The 21,744-nt window shown below is 35.2% G+C and overlaps 1 pseudogene, besides 2 other annotated features; it reads left to right on the top strand.

Moving 5' to 3' along the window:
- On the top strand, window positions 5,992-6,527 carry RPL21P39 (ribosomal protein L21 pseudogene 39; annotated as a pseudogene).
- Window positions 6,419-6,588: an enhancer, noted in NCBI's record as "experimental_65040 CRE fragment used in MPRA reporter constructs". NCBI's record gives its function as "activates a minimal promoter by MPRAs in K562 erythroleukemia cells, with activity observed for both the introgressed and non-introgressed 3:145542054 variant alleles {active_cell/tissue: K562}" and the evidence as "EXISTENCE:reporter gene assay evidence [ECO:0000049][PMID:34662402]".
- Window positions 14,635-15,170: an enhancer, noted in NCBI's record as "NANOG hESC enhancer chr3:145533387-145533922 (GRCh37/hg19 assembly coordinates)". NCBI's record gives its function as "activates a minimal SCP1, AML or CMV promoter by ChIP-STARR-seq in naive H9 embryonic stem cells {active_cell/tissue: H9 hESC(naive)}" and the evidence as "EXISTENCE:reporter gene assay evidence [ECO:0000049][PMID:30033119]".

Here is a 21,744-nt window from a genome sequence, read left to right as displayed (position 1 = left end):
AAGACAGAACCAATGGGATGGAGGGATAGATGGATAGATGATAGATAGATAGATAGATAGATAGATAGATAGATAGATAGATAGATAAGAAAGGATTTATTAGGGAAATTGACTCGTGATTATTTGACTGAGAAGTCCCATAACAGGCTTTCTGCAAGTTGGAGACCGTGGGATGCTAAGCATGGCTCAGTCCAAGTGTGAAAACCTCAGAACTAGGAAAGCTGATGGTGTAATTATTAGTAAAAGGAGAAAGGACTGAAAAACAGGGAGGCTGCTGCTCTAGCTTCTGGAGTCCAAAGCCCAGAAAGCCTGGAGTTCTGACGTCCAAGGGCAAGAGAACAGAGTACCAGCTCCCCAGCTTTATGAGAGAGAGAGAGAGAGAGAGAGAGAGAGAGAGAGAGAGAGAGAGATTGAGAGAGAGGAGATTCACCATTTCTCTGCCTTTTTGTTCCAACCTGGCCCCCAGCTGATTGGATGGTACCTGCCCACATTGAAGACAGATCTTCCCCATCACAGACACACATAGAAGTAATACTTTACCACTTCTCCAGGTATGCCTTAATCCAGTCGAGTTGACACCTAAAATTAACTATCACAGCACTTATTATTCAGATTTCACCTTTTTATTTTACCATAATTCTCTCACATTGAGGATAACTGTCTTACACTAGAATAAGATAATTTTCAGTAATCAAGAGTTCTGATCCAGAGGAGAAACAAGTTATTATGAAAAATGGCCAATGATTATCATTTTATTCCTACAACTCAAAATGTATGATGTTTAAAGTAGCCAGTGGCTGATGGGGCCATACACTGGCCTTGTGACCTTGTGTTATAGATCACATAATAGTCATAGAAGCAGAGAAACAGACTAAAATTGAGAGGGCAGTGTGTACTTTATATATATTTATAAAATATTTATATATTTTTTGAAGTTAAACATAGGCCATAACTCATTAAATAAAACAATTTATTTGATTACAAACTGTCTTTTGAGTTGATTATATTAACACATAGTTCTGCTATGAAAGTACAATTATTATTTCATTAAATTTATTGAATCACTTTATTTTATCTATACTTAAATTATTAATTTACTCCTCATTAGCCACAGAATTCCTTTTAGCAATAAGAGTATTCTGCCACAACATGAAATATGCAAAAGAGCTTGCTTTCTGCCAATTCACACACTAGAAATAATAGGGCTTATGGAAAAGTCATTTTGGGCAGTCTACTAAAACCTATATAACATTCTCTACAGACCCATAAAGGAACAGTAATTTGGGCCTTTGGTAATAATTTGGATGGCATAGGCAGTAGATGCCTCAAGGGATATAAAAATGGCGAACCTTGTCTCTACTAAAAATACAAAATTAGCCAGGCATTGTGGTGTGCTCTGGTAATCCCAGCTATTCAGGAGGCTGAGACAGGAGAATTGCTTGAACCCGGGAGACAGAGGTTACAGTGAGCCGAGATCATGCCACTGCACTCCAGCCTGGGTGACAAGAGGCAAACTTTGTCTCAAACAACAACAACAACAAATTTGCAAACAGAATGAAAATGCTGGCTTGTGGGCACTAAGAAAATTCAGATGCAAGTGGAACTGTGAGCAAAGGAAAGCCCTGAAAGATTGGGGAAAGGCCCTTTGGGTGGGACCTCTTAAATTAGAGATGAAAGTCCTCCTTGCCTGTGCAGTCATCAAGCTGAGGGATATCTCATTTCCTGATAAAGGTTGTAATTCTGTTCCCTCTCTTCTGGCTCCTCTTGCTTAAAAAAAAAAAAAAAAAAAATCTCACATGAACCACCACAACAATCAATGTATACTGATACTGTTCTACTATTCACCAATTGCTATGAGCTAATTGGTGTCAACAGAAACACATGCCATAGCCCAAAAAACAAACCAAAAAAAATGGCTAAATTTATTTGGAATTATAATCATGTCTCTCCCCGCTGTGCAGAAGGATTCTTAGCCTGGCTCTTCTATGACTACATTTAAATAGTCTTTAATTAGAGACAAGGTATTCTCCCATAAAGGGATGGTCAAACTGTTGGCAAGTGGATATTTTCCTTTTTTGTGGCTTGATTGACTTTTACTGATGGTATGACGCTTATGAAACCTAAGAATTGTTAAATATTATTTGCTGTGAGGAATAAAATGTGGAAGAGAGTATTCTCAATTGAGAGAATAATTATTTCAGTTCTTAAGAAAGGAGTGTGCTGGCAACAGGTCAATACTTTCCTGGGATGAAGCTTTCAGAGGAAGGGGCAGACTGCCATCTTTACTGTTTCACAGCCTTCAGTGGTGATACCTCCAGAGATGGGAAAATCTGAGGCAACTAGAGTCTGGAGTGGAACCCCAGAAAACTGCAGCAGCCCTGTGGATAGTGGGCAGACTGTTGAAAGCAAAATAAACAAACAGAAAACAGCAACAAAAATCCCACAAAAACTCCATCTAAAGGTCAGCAACCTCAAAGATTGAAGGTAGATAAGTCCACAAAGATGAAAAAATAATCAATGCAAAAAAGCTGAAAACTCAAAAAGCCAGAGTGCCCCTTTTTCTCCAAATGACTGGAACACCTCTCCAGCAAGGGCTCAAAACTGGACTGAGGCTGAGGTGGCTGAAATGACAGAAGTAGACTTCAGAATGTGTATCAAAACAAATCTCGCTGAGCTAAAGAAGCATGTGGTAGCCCAATGCAAAAAAGCTAAAAATCATGATAAAACAATGCAAGAGCTGACAGCCAAAATAGTCAGTGTAGAAAAAAACATAACCGACCTGATAGAGCTGAAAAAACACAATACAAGAACTTCAAAATGGAATTACAAGTATTAATAGCAGGCTAGACCAAACAGAGGAAGGAATCTCAGAACTTGAAGACTATCTTTCTGAAATAAGACAAGCGGACCAGAATAGAGAGAAAATAATAAAAACGAATGAATAAAACCTCCAAGAAATATAAGACTATTTAAAGAGACCAACTCTATGACTGATTGGGGTACCTGAAGGAGACGAGGAGAATGGAATGAATTTGGAAAACATACTTCAGGATATCATCCAGGAGAACTTCTCCAACCTAGCAAGACAGGCCAACATTAAAATTCAGGAAATACAGAGAACTGCAGTAAGATACTTCACAAGAGATCAACCCAAGACAAGCAATCGTCAGATTCTCCAAGGTCAAAATCAAGGAAAAAATGTAAAAAGCAGTCAGAGAGAAAGTCCAGGTCACCTGCAAATGGAAACTCATCAGACTAACAGTGGACCACTCAGCAGGAACCCTATAAGCCAGAAGAGATTGGAGTACAATATTCAACATTTTTAAAGAGAATAATTTCCAACCCAGAATTTCATATCTGGCCAAACTAAGCTTCATTAGCAAAGGAGAAATAAAGCTCTTTCCAGACAAGCAAATGCTGAGGGAATTCATCACCATCTGGCCTGCCTTGCGAGAACTCCTGAAGGAAGCACTAAATATGAAATGAAAAACTGTTACCAGCCACTACAAAACATACTGAAGTACACAGACCAGTGAAGCTATGAAGCAACAACACAAACAAGTCTGCAAAATAACCATTTAGCATCATGATGACAGGATCAAATTCACACATTACAGTACTAACCTTAAGTATAAATGGGCTAAATGTCCTGATTAAAAGACACAGAATGGAAAGCTGGATAAACAGCCAAAACCCATTGCTATGCTGTCTTCCAGAGAGCCATCTCATGTGCAAAGACACACATTGGCTCAAAATAAGGATATTGAGACAATTTACCAAGCAAGGGGAAAATAGAAAAGAGCAAGGGTTGCAATTTCAGTTTCTGACAAAACAAACTTTAAACCAACAAAGATAAAAACAAAAAACAAAGAGGGGCATTACATAATAGTAAAGGCTTCAATTCAACAGAAGACCTAACTATTCTAAGTATATATGAACCCAACACAGGAGCACCCAAATTCATAAAGCAAATTCTTAGGGACCTTCAAAGAGACTTAGACTCCCTCCCACACAATAGTACTGGGAGACTTTAACACCTCTCTGACAGTATTAGACAGATCATTGAGACAGATAATTAACAGATATGCAGGACCTGAAGTCAGCTCTAGATCAAGAGAACCTTATGGATATCTACAGATCTCTTCACCCAAAAAACCAACAGAATATACATTCTTCTCATTGCCATACAACACTTACTCTAAAATTGATCACATAAATGAAAATAAAACACTCCTCCACAAATGCAAAAGAACTGAAATCATAGCAAACAGTCTCTCAGATCACAGCACAATCAAATTAGAACTCAAGATTAAGAAATCAACTGAAAAACACACAACTACATAGAAATTGAACAACCTGCTCCTGAATGAATCTTGGGTAAATAATGAAATTAAGGCAGAAATCAAGAAGTTATTTGAAATTTATGAGAACAAGGAAACAATGTACCAGAATCTCTGGGATGCAGCTAAAGCGGTATTAACAGAGCAAAATTTATAGCCCTAAATGCTCACTTTAAAATGTTAGAAAGATTTCAAATTAACAACCTAACATCTCAACTAAAAAAAAATAGAGAACCAAGAGCAAGCAAATCTTAAAGTTAGCAGAAGACAAGAAATAACCAAGATCAGACCCAAACTGAAGGGGACAGAGACACAAAAAAACCCTTCAAAAAATCAATGAATCCAGGAGATGGCTTTTCAAAAAATTAATAAAATAGACCACTAGCTAGACTAATAAAGAAAAAAAGAGAGAAGAATCAAATAAACACAATCAGAAATGATAAGGTGCATATCAGCACTGACCACACAGAAATGCAAATAACCACCAGAGAATACTATGAACACCTCTATGCACATAAACTAGAAAATCTAGAAGAAATAGAAAATTTCCTGGACACATACACCCTCTCAAGACTGAAACAGGAGGAAATTGAATCCATGAATAGGTCAATAACATGTTCTGAAATTAAGGCAGTAATACATAACCTACCAACCGAAAAAAAGCACAGGACCAGATAGATTCACAGCTGAATTCTACCAGAGGTACAAAGAAGAGCAGATACCAATTCATGCTGAAACTTCCCCAAAAAATTAAAAAGGAGGGACTCCTTTGTAACTCATTTTATGAGGTTAGCATCATTCTGATAGCAAAACCTGGAAGAGATACAACAAAGAAAAAAAAATGTTAGGCCAATATCCCTGATGAACATCGATGCGAAAATCCTGAATAAAATACTGGAAAACCGAATCTAGCAGCACATCAAAAAGGTGATCCATCACAATCAAGTGGTTTTCTTCCCCAGGATGCAAGGTTGGTTCAACATAATCTAGGAATACTGCAAACCAGGCAGGCTAAAGATCTCTACAATGAGAATTACAAAACACTGCTCAAATAAATTATAGGTAATATAAATAAATGGAAAAACATTCTATGCTCATGGATAGGAAGAATAAATGTCATTAAAATGGCCATACTGAAAGAATGATGATTAAAATATCATTAAAATGGCAATACTGTCCAAAGCAATTTACAGACTCAATGCTATTTCTATCAAAATACCCATGACATTCTTCACAGAACTAGATAAACCTATTGTAAATGTTATATGGTGTATTAGTCTGTTTTCACACTGCTGATAAAGACATACCCAAGACTGGGCAATTTACAAGAGAAAGAGGTTTAATGGAGTTACAGTTCCAAGCATCTGGGGAAGCCTCACAATCATGGCAGAAGGCAAGAAGGAGTAAATCACATCTTACATGGATGGCAGCAAGCAAATAGAGCTTGTGCAGGACAACTCCCATTTTTGAAGCCATGAGATCTCATGAGACCCATTAACTATCACAAGAACAGCATGGAAAAGACCCACTCCCATAATTCAGTTGTCTCCCACCGGGTCCCTCCCACAACACATGGGAATTATGGGAGCTATAATATGAGATTTGGGTGGTGACACAGAGCCAAATTACATCATACAGAACCAAAAAGGAGCTTTTGGACGGAACCGCCATCTTCCAGTAATTCGCCAAAATGACAAACACAAAGGGAAAGAGGAGAGCCACCCGATATATGTTCTCTAGGCCTTTTAGAAAACATGGAGCTGTTCCTTTGGCGACGTATATGCGAATCTATAAGAAAGGTGATATTGTAGACATCAAGGGAATGGGTACTGTTCAAAAAGGAATGCCCCACAAGTGTTACCATGGCAAAACTGGAAGAGTCTACAATGTTACCCAGCATGCTGTTGGCATTGTTGTAAACAAACAAGTTAAGGGCAAGATTCTTGCCAAGAGAATTAATGTGCGTATTGAGCACATTTAGCACTCTAAGAGCCGAGATAGCTTCCTGAAATGCATGAAGGAAAATGATCAGAAAAAGAAAGAAGCCAAAGAGAAAGGTACCTGGGTTCAACTAAAGTTCCAGCCTGCTCCACCCAGAGAAGCACACTTTGTGAGAACCAATGGGAAGGAGCCTGAGCTGCTGGAACTTATTCCCTATGAATTCATGGCATAATAGGTGTTAAAAAACCTAATTTATTGAGAGTTTTTAGGATGAAGGGTTGTTGAATTTTGTCAAAGGACTTTTCTGCATCTATTGAGATAATCATGTGGTTTTTGTCTTTGATTCTGTTTATATGCTGGATTACATTTACTGATTTGCATATATTGAACCAGCCTTGCATCCCAGGGATGAAGCCCACTTGATCATGGTGGATAAGCTTTTTGATGTGCTGCTGGATTTGGTTTGCCAGTATTTTATTGAGGATTTTTGCATCAATGTTCATCAAGGACATTGGTCTAAAATTCTCTTTGTTGGTTGTGTCTCTGCCCGGCTTTGGTATCAGGATGATGCTGGTCTCATCAAATGAGTTAGGGAGGATACCCTCTTTTTCTATTGATTGGAATAGTTTCAGAAGGAATGGTACCAGTTCCTCCTTGTACCTCTGGTAGAATTCGGCTGTGAATCCATCTGGTCCTGGACTCTTTTTGGTTGGTAAGCTATTGATTATTGCCACAACTTCAGCTCCTGTTATTGGTCTATTCAGAGATTCATCTTCTTCCTGGTTTAGTCTTGGGAGAGTGTATGTGTTGAGGAATTTATCCATTTCTTCTAGATGTTCTAGTTTATTTGTGTAGAGGTGTTTGTAGTATTCTCTGATGGTAGTTTGTATTTCTGTGGGATTGGTGGTGATATCCCCTTTATCATTTTTTATTGCATCTATTTGATTCTTCTCTCTTTTTTTCTTTATTAGTCTTGCTAGTGCTCTATCAATTTTGTTGATCCTTTCAAAAAACCAGCTCCTGGATTCATTAATTTTTTGAAGGGTTTTTTGTGTCTCTATTTCCTTCAGTTCTGCTCTGATTTTAGTTATTTGATATCATACTGAATGGGCAAAAACTGGAAGCATTCCCTTTGAAAACTGGCACAAGACAGGGATGCCCTCTCTCATCACTCCTATTCAACATAGTGTTGGAAGTTCTGGCCAGGGCAATTAGGCAGGAGAAGGAAATAAAGGGTATTCAATTAGGAAAAGAGGAAGAGGAAGTCAAATTGTCCCTGTTTGCAGACGACATGATTGTATATCTAGAAAACCCCATTGTCTCAGCCCAAAATCTCCTTAAGCTGATAAGCAACTTCAGCAAAGTCTCAGGATACAAAATCAATGTACAAAAATCATAAGCATTCTTATACACCAATAACAGACAAACAGAGAGCCAAATCATGAGTGAACTCCCATTCACAATTGCTTCAAAGAGAATAAAATACCTAGGAATCCAACTTACAAGGGATGTGAAGGACCTCTTCAAGGAGAACTACAAACCACTGCTCAAGGAAATAAAAGAGGATACAAACAAATGGAAGAACATTCCATGCCCATGGGTAGGAAGAATCAATATCGTGAAAATGGCCATACTGCCCAAGGTAATATATAGATTCAATGCCATCTCCATCAAGCTACCAATGACTTTCTTCACAGAATTGGAAAAAACTACTTTAAAGTTCATATGGAACCAAAAAAGAGCCCACATCACCAAGTCAATCCTAAGCCAAAAGAACAAAGCTGGAGGCATCATGCTACCTGACTTCAAACTATACTACAAGGCTGCAGTAACCAAAACAGCATGGTACTGGTACCAAAACAGAGATATAGATCAATGGCACAGAACAGAGCCCTCAGAAATAACGCTGCATATCTACAATTATCTGATCTTTGACAAACCTGAGAAAAACAAGCAATGGGGAAAGGATTCCCTATTTAATAAATGGTGCTGGGAAAACTGGCTAGCCATATGTAGAAAGCTGAAACTGGATCCCTTCCTTACACCTTATACAAAAATCAATTCAAGATGGATTAAAGACTTAAACGTTAGACCTAAAACCATAAAAACCCTAGAAGAAAACCTAGGCATTACCATTCAGGACATAGGCATGGGCAAGGACTTCATGTCTAAAACACCAAAAGCAATGGCAACCAAAGCCAAAATTGACAAATGGGATCTAATTAAACTAAAGAGCTTCTGCACAGCAAAAGAAACTACCATCAGAATGAACAGGCAACCTACAAAATGGGAGAACATTTTCACAACCTACTCATCTGACAAAGGGCTAATATCCAGAATCTACAATGAACTCAAACAAATTTACAAGAAAAAAACAAACAACTCCATCAAAAATTGGGCGAAGGACATGAACAGACACTTCTCAAAAGAAGACATTTATGCAGCCAAAAAACACATGAAAAAATGCTCATCATCACTGGCCATCAGAGAAATGCAAATCAAAACCACAATGAGATACCATCTCACACCAGTTAGAATGGCAATCATTAAAAAGTCAGGAAACAACAGGTGCTGGAGAGGATGTGGTGAAATAGGAACACTTTTACACTGTTGGTGGGACTGTAAACTAGTTTAACCATTGTGGAAGTCAGTGTGGCGATTCCTCAGGGATCTAGAACTAGAAATACCATTTGACCCAGCCATCCCATTACTGGGTATATACCCAAAGGACTATAAATCATGCTGCTATAAAGACACATGCACATGTATGTTTATTGTGGCACTATTCACAATAGCAAAGACTTGGAACCAACCCAAATGTCCAACAATGATAGACTGGATTAAGAAAATGTGGCACATATACACCATGGAATACTATGCAGCCATAAAAAATGATGAGTTCATGTCCTTTGTAGGGACATGGATGAAGTTGGAAATCATCATTCTCAGTAAACTATTGCAAGAACAAAAAACCAAACACCGCATATTCTCACTCATAGGTGGGAACTGAGCAATGGGAACACATGGACACAGGAAGGGGAACATCACACTCTGGGGTCTGTTGTGGGGTGGGGAGAGCGGGGAGGGATAGCACTGGGAGATATACCTAATGCTAGATGACGAGTTGGTGGGTGCAGCGCACCAGCATGGCACATGTATACATATGTAACTAACCTGCACATTGTGCACATGTACCCTAAAACTTAAAGTATAATAATAATAAATAAAAAACTAGAAAAAAATAGGTGTTAAAAAAATAAATAAAGGACCTCTGGGCTATAAAAAAAAAGAAAAAAAAAGAACCAAAAAAGAAAAAAAAAGAACCAAAAAAGAGCCCAAGTAGCCAAGGCAATGCTAATTAAAAAGAACAAAGTTGGAGGCATCATGCTATCTGTCTTCAAACTATACTATAGGGCTACAGTAACCAAAACATCATGGTACTGGTACAAAAACAGACACATAGGCCAATGGAACAGAATAGGGTACCCAGAAATAAGGCCACACACTTTTGACCACCTGATCTTTGACAAAGCTGAGAAAAACAAGCAATGGGGAAATGAATCCCTATTAAATAAATAAAGCTGTTGTAACTGGCTAGCCATATGCAGAAGATTGAAACTGGACTCCTTCCTCACATCGTATACAAAAATCAACTCAAGATGGATTAAAGGCTCCAAGGTAAAACCGAAAACTATCAAAACTTTGATTGACAACGTAGGCAATACTATTCAGGACATGGACACATGCAAAGATTTCATTAAGAAAACACCAAAAGCAATTGCAACAAAACAAAAACTTACAAATAGAATCAAATTAAACTTAAGAGTTCTGCACATTAAAATGAACTATTAACAGACAACTTACAGAATGAGAGAAAATATTTGAAAACTATGCCTCTGACAAATATATCATATCCAGTGTTTATGAGGAAGTTGAACAAATTTACAAGAAAAAAACACCATTAACAAGTGGGCAAAGGATATGAACAGACATTTTCTAAAGAAGACATGCATGTGGCCAATAAAGCATATGAAGAAAACCTCAACATTACTGATCATTAGAAAAATGCAAATCAAAACCACAATAGGATACCATCTCACACGAGTCAGAATGGCTATTATTAGAAAGTCAAAAAATAGCACAGGTGGGCAAGGTGACAGAGAAAAAGAAATGCTTATACACTGTTGGTGGGAGTTCAAATTAGGTCAACATTGTGGAAATCAGTGTGGTGATTCATCAAAGACCTAAAAACAGAACTACCATTCAACCCAGCAATCCGATTACTGGGTATATACCCAAAGTAATATAAATCATTCTACCAAAAAGACATATGTACATTTAGGTTCATTATTCACAATAGCAAAGACACAGAATCAACCTAAATGCCCATTAATGGTAGAATTAAATGTACTACAAATACAGAATGGAATACTATGCAGTCAAAAAAAGGAAAAACCAAGATCATATTCTTTGCAGGAACATGGATGGAGCTGGAGGCATAAAAATTTCATAATCTGTTTGCTTATTTCTATACTCAAACATATGTGTACACACACCCACACACACAAACACACAGACGTGATACAAAACTTTCTATGATTTTCATTGCATTCAATTTATGGACCCATTTGAGAATGATTAACATCTTCAAGATATTGAGTCTTCTAATCCATAAAAATAGTATGTTTGTCTACTGAAGGTATTCTTTAATTTCTGTGAATAACATTTTATATTTTTCAGTTGATCATTTTGTAAAATTTAATGTTTAATTTAATTTAATGCATTTAATGTTTTTTATAATATTCATAAATAATACTTTTCTCAAGTTTTATTTTTAAGTTTATGTTGATGTTATATAGAAATATAACTGATTTTGCTCAGTTACTTTACACCTATTAACATTGCTAAGTTTACTTTTTGCTTCAAATAGTTTGTTGTTTTTTGATAACTTTGATAGCTTTATGGAGGTAATCATAATTATATAGCCTGCAAATAATCATAGTCTTATGTCTTTTTTTTCTTGTTACTTTTACCTCTTTGGTTTGGCTAATAACCTCTAATACAGTATGAAACAGAAATAGCTATCTTCCTTTTCTAAATCTAATTCCAGAGAGAAAATTTCTTTTTAAGGAAAGTTTTTTTAAAATATATATTTATCAAATTATTTTCTATATCTGTTGAAACAAGCACATAATATTTCTTCTTTATTCTGGCTTTAAGTAAAGCGTATGTGAACTGAGACCAAAAATCACTAGTGTGTATATGGGAAAAGACAGACATCATAAGATAAACTGTAGAACTCATGGGAGAGAGCTTGAGTTTAAGGAGGTTGATGCAATTTGACCTAGGCAGTGATATCTAGAAACACAGTCCAGGTCAAAGGAGGAACCAAAAAGAAAAAAAGTGAAATTGAATAGTACTGTTAGTTAAGCGTTATAAAAATGTATAATAGAAATCCCAGTTAGATGTCCTGTAAATGCCTAAGAAAAAACATTTAATGCAAACATATGAATCCTGTGAGTCTATTGACTCATAGTCAGACTCAATTAAAAAAAACACAACTTTTACTTGGGTACTTAAACTTACTAGTCAACTTGGATTGGGATTCATGTAAGCTGGAATGAAGAAATTAACTGCTAAGCCAGAAGCTGTACTCTTTAACATAAGTTGATTATCCATAACTTGATTACCTCTGTATATTTTGCACACACTGACTTCTTAAAATATGCTAGAAGAGATGATATATTCTAAATGTCTGGGTAAATGGCTATGTTAATTACCTTCTAGAGAGGAGAAATTATTAAAAACAAAAAAAGCAAGGCTATATTCCACATGCTTATAAATAATGGATATATTAAAATCAATTCTGCTTTCTTTCCAATTATTACAACAAATAGATTAATGTGCTTGTAAGTAATTAGTAAATATACAATATTATACCAATGTAAGGAGTAATTATTATTACTGCTAAAATAACTATCCATGTTTGTCCTCAAGATGATGACAGTAAACAAAACCATTGAAGTATTAGTTGTTGTTTGAGCAGAGAAGATAAGTGATACGGAGTAAAGGGTTTATTATAGGAATTTGACATAATACAGTGTGGGATTGATTAGGCACTTTACTATAATTGCTTCCAAGTTTGTTGTCGGGCCTGTATGTTGCTGGGCTTGTGTAGGCAGCTGTGCAGGTAGCAGGACAGTCAATACTAAAGAAAAGATGGCCTTGAAATTGTGGAGAACATAGGTAAATAATTGTATTGATTTACTTGGAACTGAGGAGTTTCCTGAGATGAGGGACTTTCAGTACTAAAACGGTACAGTCTCAACTGAACCAGAAAGGTTGGTCACTCTTTCAGAAAATCTCAGATAATGTACTTGACCTACAACAGAGCCTTACACTACACTGACCTTTGAAGTATAAACGTGGAGGCTGCTTCACTTTCCCTTTCTAAATGTCATGTAGTTTCTTTCATGGTCAGTTCTACCACAAAGGGAATGGAATTCTCAGAAATGTAGTTTCTGTTTAGCTTAGTTATTACAGCAATACAATCTTTATAGGTAGCCATTGGGAATCCTTTTGATTTAATTTTATGTTTCAGAATAAAGTGTAACCTCCTTTACATAGCAGTTTTGTTAGAGAAAATTCACAAAAATCCAGCTCTTCAGAACTATGAAAATGTCTAATTGATTTAAAGAGAGACACACTCTTTTAGCAAAATACTGATAGTAGTTACCCTTCTAGAGCCACAGTTACATTCTTTCCTCCTGTGCGCTCTAATCCCTGGCAAACACTAATCTCTCTATAATCTTTGTATTTTTTCATTTCAAGAATGTAATATAAATGCATTAATTTTGTATGTAAAATTTTGAGATTGTTTTTATTTTCATTTAGTTCCCTGAGATCCATCCAGGTAGTTCTGTGTATCAATAGTTCTTTCCTCATTATGGCTGAGTATTTTTCTATGATATGTTTGTACAACAGATTGTTTAACTATTCATTACAAAACAAATGGTTTTTTTTTGTTTTGGCCTATTATGAATAAAGATGCTATCAGCATTTGTTTTAACATGAGTTTTTATATCTCTGAAATAAATGACCAAAAGTTCAACTGCTAAGAGCATATTTAGTTTGTAAGAAGCTATAACATTATTTTCTAGAATGGTGCCATTTTACATTCCCACCAGCAATATGTGAGTGATCCCATTAGTTCACATCTTAATCCAAACACAGTGCTATCATTATTGCTTTTAATTTTGTATTTTGATATATGTGTAGTAATTGCACATTGTGGTTTTAATATTCATATTTCTAATGGCTAAAGATGTTGAACATTTTTTCAAAGGTGCTCATTTTTTGTCTGTACATTCTCTTTGGCAGTCTCTTCAAGTCTTCTATTCTTTAGGGTAGTTTATTTTCTTACTTTTAAATTTGGAAAGCTCTTTATATGTCCTGTTTATAAGGCCTTTGTTAAATAGTGATCCACAAGTATTTTCTACTAGTCTGTAGCTTGTTTTTCATTCAACTAATAGTGATTTTATAGAGCAAAACTATTTTAATTTTGATTAAGTTAGACTTATCAGTTGTTTCTTTTGTGGATCTTGCTTTAGTGTTATGTCTAAACACTTTGTCTAAGCTTAGTTCGTGAAGATTTTCTCCTACCTTTTCTTTAAAAGTTTCATGATTTTATAGTTTTCCATTTAGATCTCACATCAGATGCATTTTTGCATCTGATGTGAGATTCAAATCAAAGATGATTTCCTTTGCATATAGATATCAATATTCCCTGTTGAAAAGACTACTCTTTTCAATTAAATTTACTTTATATCTTAGTTTTAAAGGAAGCATTTGTGTCCAAACCAGATGGAGCAAATGCATTTGACCCTAATTCTCCCAATATCTACAACACAAAAAAACCCTACATAAAATTTATAAGGCAACAAACAAAGAATCTGAAAGAAGGAAGAAGCCAAGTGGATTAGGGACACTGAAACTTGAAGAATATCACTCTGGTGAGTACCCCTGAAGTTGTCTTCCTTTCTATATATCCAAGTCTAGGTGCTAGAGAAGCCTAAAAATCCAGAAAAGCTAATGTGTGTGGATAAATAAAACCCCATGAAAAGCATTCTCTCTAGACAACGTACCAGAGAAAGGTGCCCCAGAAGGACAGAAGCATGTTCACCATCCCTTTTTCTATTTCATACAATCACCATGAAAAAATGCTCTTCCCTCCCCTTCTACTGTAGGAATGAAGGCAGTGGGCAGAGCCTTGTCTACCATCCCTGCTCTGTAACAATAAGGTGGTGTCTTTGCTCCTATTTTCAGGCTACTTACTTATCAAATGACCTTGGTATTTTACATATATTCTTGAAATTTTAGGAGTTTCTTTCTTGTGTAAATTGGAAATATTTAAATAAAATAAAATTTGTAAACTTTAGTGAATGTTTCTGATAAGCCTTCAAGTAATTGACAATTATATGATCTCCTGTTTCTCTCTTCTACTGCTCTTCTCCTCACTCACACGGCTCCAGCCACACTGGGTCACTTGTTAAAAAATTCCTGGCATGCCTCAGGGCTTTTGCATCTGTTGCTCCCTACACTACCATTCCTTTAGATAACCACATGGCTTGTTCCATTATTTCCTTAAGATCTTGCTTCACATGTTAATGACTGAACTTGAAATTCATGAGAGAAGGTTTTTTTCTGTTTTGTTCACAGTTATACCCCCAACACCCAGAAGAAGACTTGGGACATAATAGGTTCTCAAATAAATATTCGCTCAGCAAATAAATCTTTATGTTTGTGAGTAAATAAATAGCAAATGTTAATATCAGCACTAACTGTAAAGATTTTTTAAATCAGAATTTTAAGGTGGCAATATGAAAAAAGGATTAAGAACTGAAAACAGAATTGATACTAAACTTCTCTGTTTTATTCACCCTCTATGGTGACTATACACATACACACACATATGTAAGTTTTTAAAGTTTTTTTCTTAATTCAATTAATCGTTTAACTTTTAGATGTAAAGTTTTGGCTTTAGTAAATATCTGAGTTCATGTTTTGTTAATATGGTTTTTAAAAATATTTTTGTCTTTTTAAATGTTAAAGTAATATGTGTTAACAATAAGAAATTTTGGAGAAGTTCAGTAATAAGGGAATTGTTAATAAATTTGAAATAGGTGGATATTGGAATATTGTACAATTCTTAAAATAATACTTAATAAACCAATAAAATATAATATGGTAACTAAAAAAAGATATAAAGCTGTATATATCGTATGGTTTATGTTCAGTGATGTGCATCTATTATATAGACATTTGTGCATATATATATATATATGCATAAAGTATATGAATAATACATGAATGTTAAATTTTCAGCCAAAATCTGGTATTAGGTATCATCTTTGAGTTTTGGAAAGTCCAAGGCTCATTTAAATTTCAATTCTGAAATTCTTGAACTTTGCACAATCAATAATCACATGACTACATTGGTTATTATCATATATAAGCATCATGACAATGTCAGCAGTTTATACAAAGTATGTCACTGGGATTTATTATTAATATTTGCATTTATGAGTATCTACTTTCAAATATAGTTCAGCATTCTTGTTGTACCTTGTATTAAACCTTAATGTGCATTATATGGTAAAATTCTATTACTCAGGGTAAGTATGTATGCATAGTTTTTATTGTAATCATCAAATATAGCACTAATTAATAATTCTGAAAATGCTCTGTATATTGGCATAAACTGAGAACACTCAAATGTTTAAATGTACAGGAAATAGATTGACAATAGGAGAGCATCAGCTGGATAACATTAAGAAGAAGATAGCTCTTATTTGAACAACTAATGATTATAAAACTAAATAATAATTTAATACAGAATGAAATATTTACATTAATACATTAAAATAATATTTAATACATTAAAATATCAATGCCAATCTTTGTAGTTTTTTTGTACAATTAAATTTATACATTAAACCAAATAAGAACTCTATGTGATGCTTATATATTTAATTCCATCTATCCCAAATCTTTCTAGTAAAGAACTTCTTTTGTAATGTCTTGCTTATTGTGAAGATAAAATAATAGTGGAATGACAACTCTGCAAACTCAAAATTTCATAAGAAAAAATATAAAAATAATATCAATGGCAAATCATTTTGATACAGATTTTTAAAATGATTATACAGGGAACAAAGAAACTAATGTAGTGTTAGTGAATAAATGAGTTACTTCCAAATATCTTGCTTCTTCATTGATTTCATTGAAAGTGAACATCTATTTTCTGTTGTCAATGTGCAATACACTAACTGCAGCAGCAATCCAGATGCTGACATCTGGATGTGAAGCTCCAGGAGTGAAGCTCCTCCACCATAATTGTGAACATTTAAAAATTTACCATTAAATCTTTTGATAACCCAGTGGTAATTATGATTTTGCTACATTGGTAATGTTTTAGATTTATTCTTTATCTCAGAAGGTCATTTAAGGATGTCGATATTCTTTATTAAACAGAATATTATGATAACTTCTGGCTTTTGGCACTTGGAGAAAATGCATGTTCAAAGCATAAAGTATTTAAATACTTATATTTAAAGTATCCATAGCACAATAGGGGGAAATTCAGGAAGGCACTAAAGCAGCCATTAGCTCTCTTATCTCTAGATTTTGATACTTATTTTAGTTCTCTTTCTGGCTTTCTGAGTTTGTTCGGGACATTCGACTATGTCAGAGAGCCAATATCAATAAAAATGATTAGCGTTTTGGGACCCGGAAATATTAGGATGCAATTTGTGGTATTGAGATTTGGTAGTGCAGTGAACCATATCACCAATATCAATCATAATTCTGTTGAGTAAAAATTTGGTATATCACAAAGAATTTAAAACATGTCCATTACTATTGACCTCATCATTATAGTTAGTAAAGCGGTTATTTAAACAACAGGTATGTATGGATCACAAATCATGTGGCAAGTACTGTGGTAGATATGGAAGAGGAAGGGAACTGTATTAACTTTAATAAATATTGCAATTTCCATTTTTTGAGAGCTCACTACATGCTAGACCCTATATAAATGCATTGTGTACTTTTTAGTACTCACAATAACAATTTGACATTTTAAAGATAAGGAAAATAAAACTAAGTGAATAACCTGTCCGAGGCCATATAATAGTAAGTACCAATTCTGACTAATGTCTGTGTAACTCCACCACCAGTGCACCCAACGCTGTGTGCAATATAAATCATTGCTCCTCAGTAAACATAGAAGGGGGAGACAAATCTAACCCACATCAAATAATTTGAGGGCAACAGAAGGGATTTAAATGGTGTAGTAAGACAATATATGCACCTAGAATTGAAAGAGATAGATAGATGACTGAGGGCCGGGGGGCTTCAAAGATGAGCAGGGCTTTATTTGGAGCAAGAGAAGAGGAAATGCATTCTGGGTAAATCAATATTATGAAGAAGGATACATAAAAAGGCTGATTTTTCTAGAAAAGTGGGGAAATGTTATTCGGCAAAAGGAGCAGTGAGTACACCATTTATATTATTTATTTAAATATATTTTTAAATTTTAAACCTTGATAACTGGGATGTCCTGTCATTCAATGACTTATATTAAATATATGGATTCTGATATGGGCAGATTAAGGTGTTTCATAATAAATAGAGCATATGGTTAAGATTGATGATTAATATGTAATTTTAAAGTTAATAAAGTGCGAAATGGAAGGAGAAAAATACCTTCTAAATATTTTGGCATACATATTTCCTTTTTTTTTTTTTTCCTCCATTGCAATGAGATAGGTCACTGAGGAGGTAATCTTACTTACAGATAAGGATGCTATAATGGAAACCGTAATTCGCCCAAGGCTACACAGCTACTTATCAGAAGATAAGGGATTTAAAGCGAGTGATTTTTGGAAGCCAACATAAGCCAGATTTTTGTAGAGCTTTATAGCTGCTTCTCACGTATTTTTTAGCCTTCAGCCCTTCCATAAGAAAACTTACTATATTCAACTGTTATTTATGGTTTACTACTTTGGTATTGTGTCAAAGTTTGATTTTTTTTGTTTGTTTTTTGAGATGGAGTCTCGCTCTGTCGCCCAGGCTGGACCGCAGTGGCACGATCTCGACACACTGCAAGCTCCACCTCCCAGGTTCACGCCATTCTCCTGCCTCAGCCTCCCGAGTAGCTGGGACTACAGGCGCCCACCACCACGCCTGACTAATTTCTTTTTGTATTTTTAGTAGAGACGGGTTTCACCGTGCTAGCCAGGATGGCTACGATCTCCTGACCTCGTGATTCGCCCACCTTGGCCTCCTCCCAAAGTGCTGGGATTACAGGCGTGAGCCACCGCGCCCGGCCCAAAGTTTGATTTTGAAACTAAAATAACTTATGTAAGCACATTGTTTGTGATTTGATCAGTTACTACATGAGAAATAGTTAGTCTGGCATTAAAATCTGTTCTTACCTGGAGCGGTGGCTCATGCCTGTAATCCCAGCACTTTGGGAGGCCGAGGCAGGCAAATTGCCTGAGCTCAAGAGTTCAAGACCAGCCTGGGCAACATAGTGAAACCCCGTCTCTACAAAGACACAAAAAATTAGCCAGGCGTGGTGGCATGCACCTGTAGTCCCAGCTACTCTGGAGGTTGAGGCAGGAGAATCGTTTGAACCTGGGAGGCTGAGGCTGCAGTGAGTCAAGATCACACCACTGCACTCCAGCCTGGGCAAGACTCTGTCAAATAAAAGAAAAAAGAAAAAAAGAAAAGAAACAAGAAAAATAAAATATATTATTTGATTGTTAGAATGAAAATTTTTCAGAGAAAGTCGCTGATGTGCTATATCACTGTATTACTGTATACTAGGTATTTTATTCCCTGCTGTCTTTTAATCAAAAGAAGTACAATTAAAAAAAAATTTTAGAGTCAGTCAGCTCAATATTGGATTTCAACTGCACATTTGATGGGATTCAATCTTACAGTTTTTGTCTCAGTCAACTTGGGATATTATTACATTATTTTTCTGAAATGAACTTCTAGATGCCAGATACTGGAAAGATTGCAGAGAGGTGGGTTTTTAAATTCACTTTTAAGTAGCTGCGAGAAGCCATATATATCGGAGACTCCAGGACTGTCTTTCCAAATCACATAATAAAGATTGGAACTAAAGTCCATAGTGCTTAAGTAGATACACAAAAAAGTATGTTTGCATGTGCTGGGAGGGGAAAAAAAGTACTAAATAAAAATCATGGACCAGAAACATACAGGTGGAGGGGAACATCCTGTGTTCACACCATGAACTCTTGGAGTGTAGAATTTGTGGAGAAAAGAAAGCGAGAAGATACTAACTTCTAGCTTGGTGCTGCTAATTCCCCAATCTATTCCTGGGGTTAAATCATGTGAAGATAGGAGACTACTTTTTCCACTTACAAAGTATATCATTGACAGTTAGTACATTATTGGGATTTTGTATTAATGAACTGGAAAGGTTTCTACAGGACCACTGTAAGTTCTAGAGAGCTGCAAAAATGTGTTTTATTATTGCCATTATTGCTAAATGAAATAGTTCATGGAATTCACCAGCATATGAGTTTTGGTGTCTCTCACTGTAAAGTTTTCCTTAATTGTCTAGCTTCCACAATATCAGAGATATTCTGTCTCCTCCAAGACACCACAGGAGAACCAAAGAAAGTATTTCTCTGTCACTATGTTTAACTTAGGATTTCTCATCAGAAGGCTGAATATGCAATGAAGTCAAAATTCTATAAGGCCATGCAGAGGTTAAAATGTTGTACAAATATAAGTAATGCATGAGAAACAAATACATTAAAATGAAAACAGTGATTGTATTAAGGTGAATAATATTTTTTACTTTTTAATTAAATTGTATATATATGACTTGCATACTAAAATTTTTAGAATAATATAAATTATATAAATCAGATAAGAAAAAACAGGTCTTTAAAATTTATCAATGTTGCTTTGTGAGGAAGTTTTGGAGTAGAAACTATTATAGCTAGATAATCAATTATGGTAATTACAGTTTTCCCTTTTTAAAATATTTTTAAACCACAACAACACTGCAGCATTTGGAAACAGTAAACAAGCCAGAGTAGCCTTAAAGGAAGGCCGCGTCAATAAATGACTTCATTAGCTTCTCACGGATACATTTTAGTGCATTGCAGTAGGAAATAATATTGCTGCAAATTAGTAACTGTAATTAGATATTTTTCCAGCTTTAATTTTCATTATGAAAATATGGTTACCTCTGTATCTAAATTTTCTTTAATTTCCCTAATTCAAGGGCAGACCCCCAGAGAGGTCAGTTGTGTTCACTGAAAATTCCTATAACTTCATGAAAGAATAGTTCACATTTATAGTCTGCAAAGCAACTGAACTGAAAAATCTAATGTTATGTTTCTGTTGATTTACTGTCACTTTAATGGTATGTTATCACAATCCTCATACTTTTACAGTCTAGGGTAGTTTTAGGTTAATGCACATTTAATGAAAAGTAGAGTGGATAGTACTGGGTGTATGCAGATTTAAATGCTATCACCTGAGTAAATTGTCTCTTAATATTACATACAGAGATTCCTAAAGTACAACCCTGTACTGTTACAATTAAGAAATCAAAATGTTAAATTTATAATAGGTTTGAGATGAGATAGGAAATCAGGTTTGTTTGATGTTCCAGGTCTTGTTTAAAGACAGTCTTGCCCTTGTTCATAGGTAGGTAGGGCTGAGGGTGCAGGGTTGGACAAATATTGTTTCTTCTTTTGGAGCAAAAACATTTTCCTCTGCTATTGGGAGAGAAAAGAACACTTTATAGAGGAGAATTAGATGAGTGTCACAATGTCATACAACAATGTTCAACTATACAAAGAGAAATGTGGGTGCATTTTTAAGGAAGTATTTATTAACTGTTGATATTCTCCTTTCAAAAGCTTTTTTAAATTACTTAAATCTATGAGACTCAGTGTTTGGGGAAGGTCATTAAAAATAAAGACTTACTTTGTAGGCTATCATTTATGTAATAAAAATTAATAAATAGAGCATCTTAACTGCCTTGGTAGGTAGGTAGAAGAATATGAAATGCTGGCATCTCTGGTGGCCCATAACAGAGACCAGGGTTCCAAAATAGTTTCTGTCACTTGTCTTTAGAGAAGACCTTACTTTCCTTATTTACACAGCATAGGGTTGTCTGAGATTGTGTAAAAGGTCACCTAGAAGTCTTTCCTTTGATTATTTAGAATAAGGCCTTGAGTTCAAGGATGACCTTAAAAATTCCTATATTTGCAAGGCTCATGTTATTTTGCTTAACCCTGTTTAGTGTCTTTGATGAAATAAAGGTTTTTAATTTTTTTCCAATTTCTCTAAACATTTTTATTTCTCTAAACATTTTTATCTGAGACACAGATCCAGTGACAGAAGAAGA

The sequence above is a fragment of the Homo sapiens genome, chromosome 3 (assembly GCF_000001405.40).
Source record: "Homo sapiens chromosome 3, GRCh38.p14 Primary Assembly".
Lineage (NCBI taxonomy): Eukaryota > Metazoa > Chordata > Mammalia > Primates > Hominidae > Homo > Homo sapiens.
The sequence above is the reverse complement of the archived record's forward strand: the minus strand, read 5'-3'. Positions and strand labels throughout refer to the sequence as shown.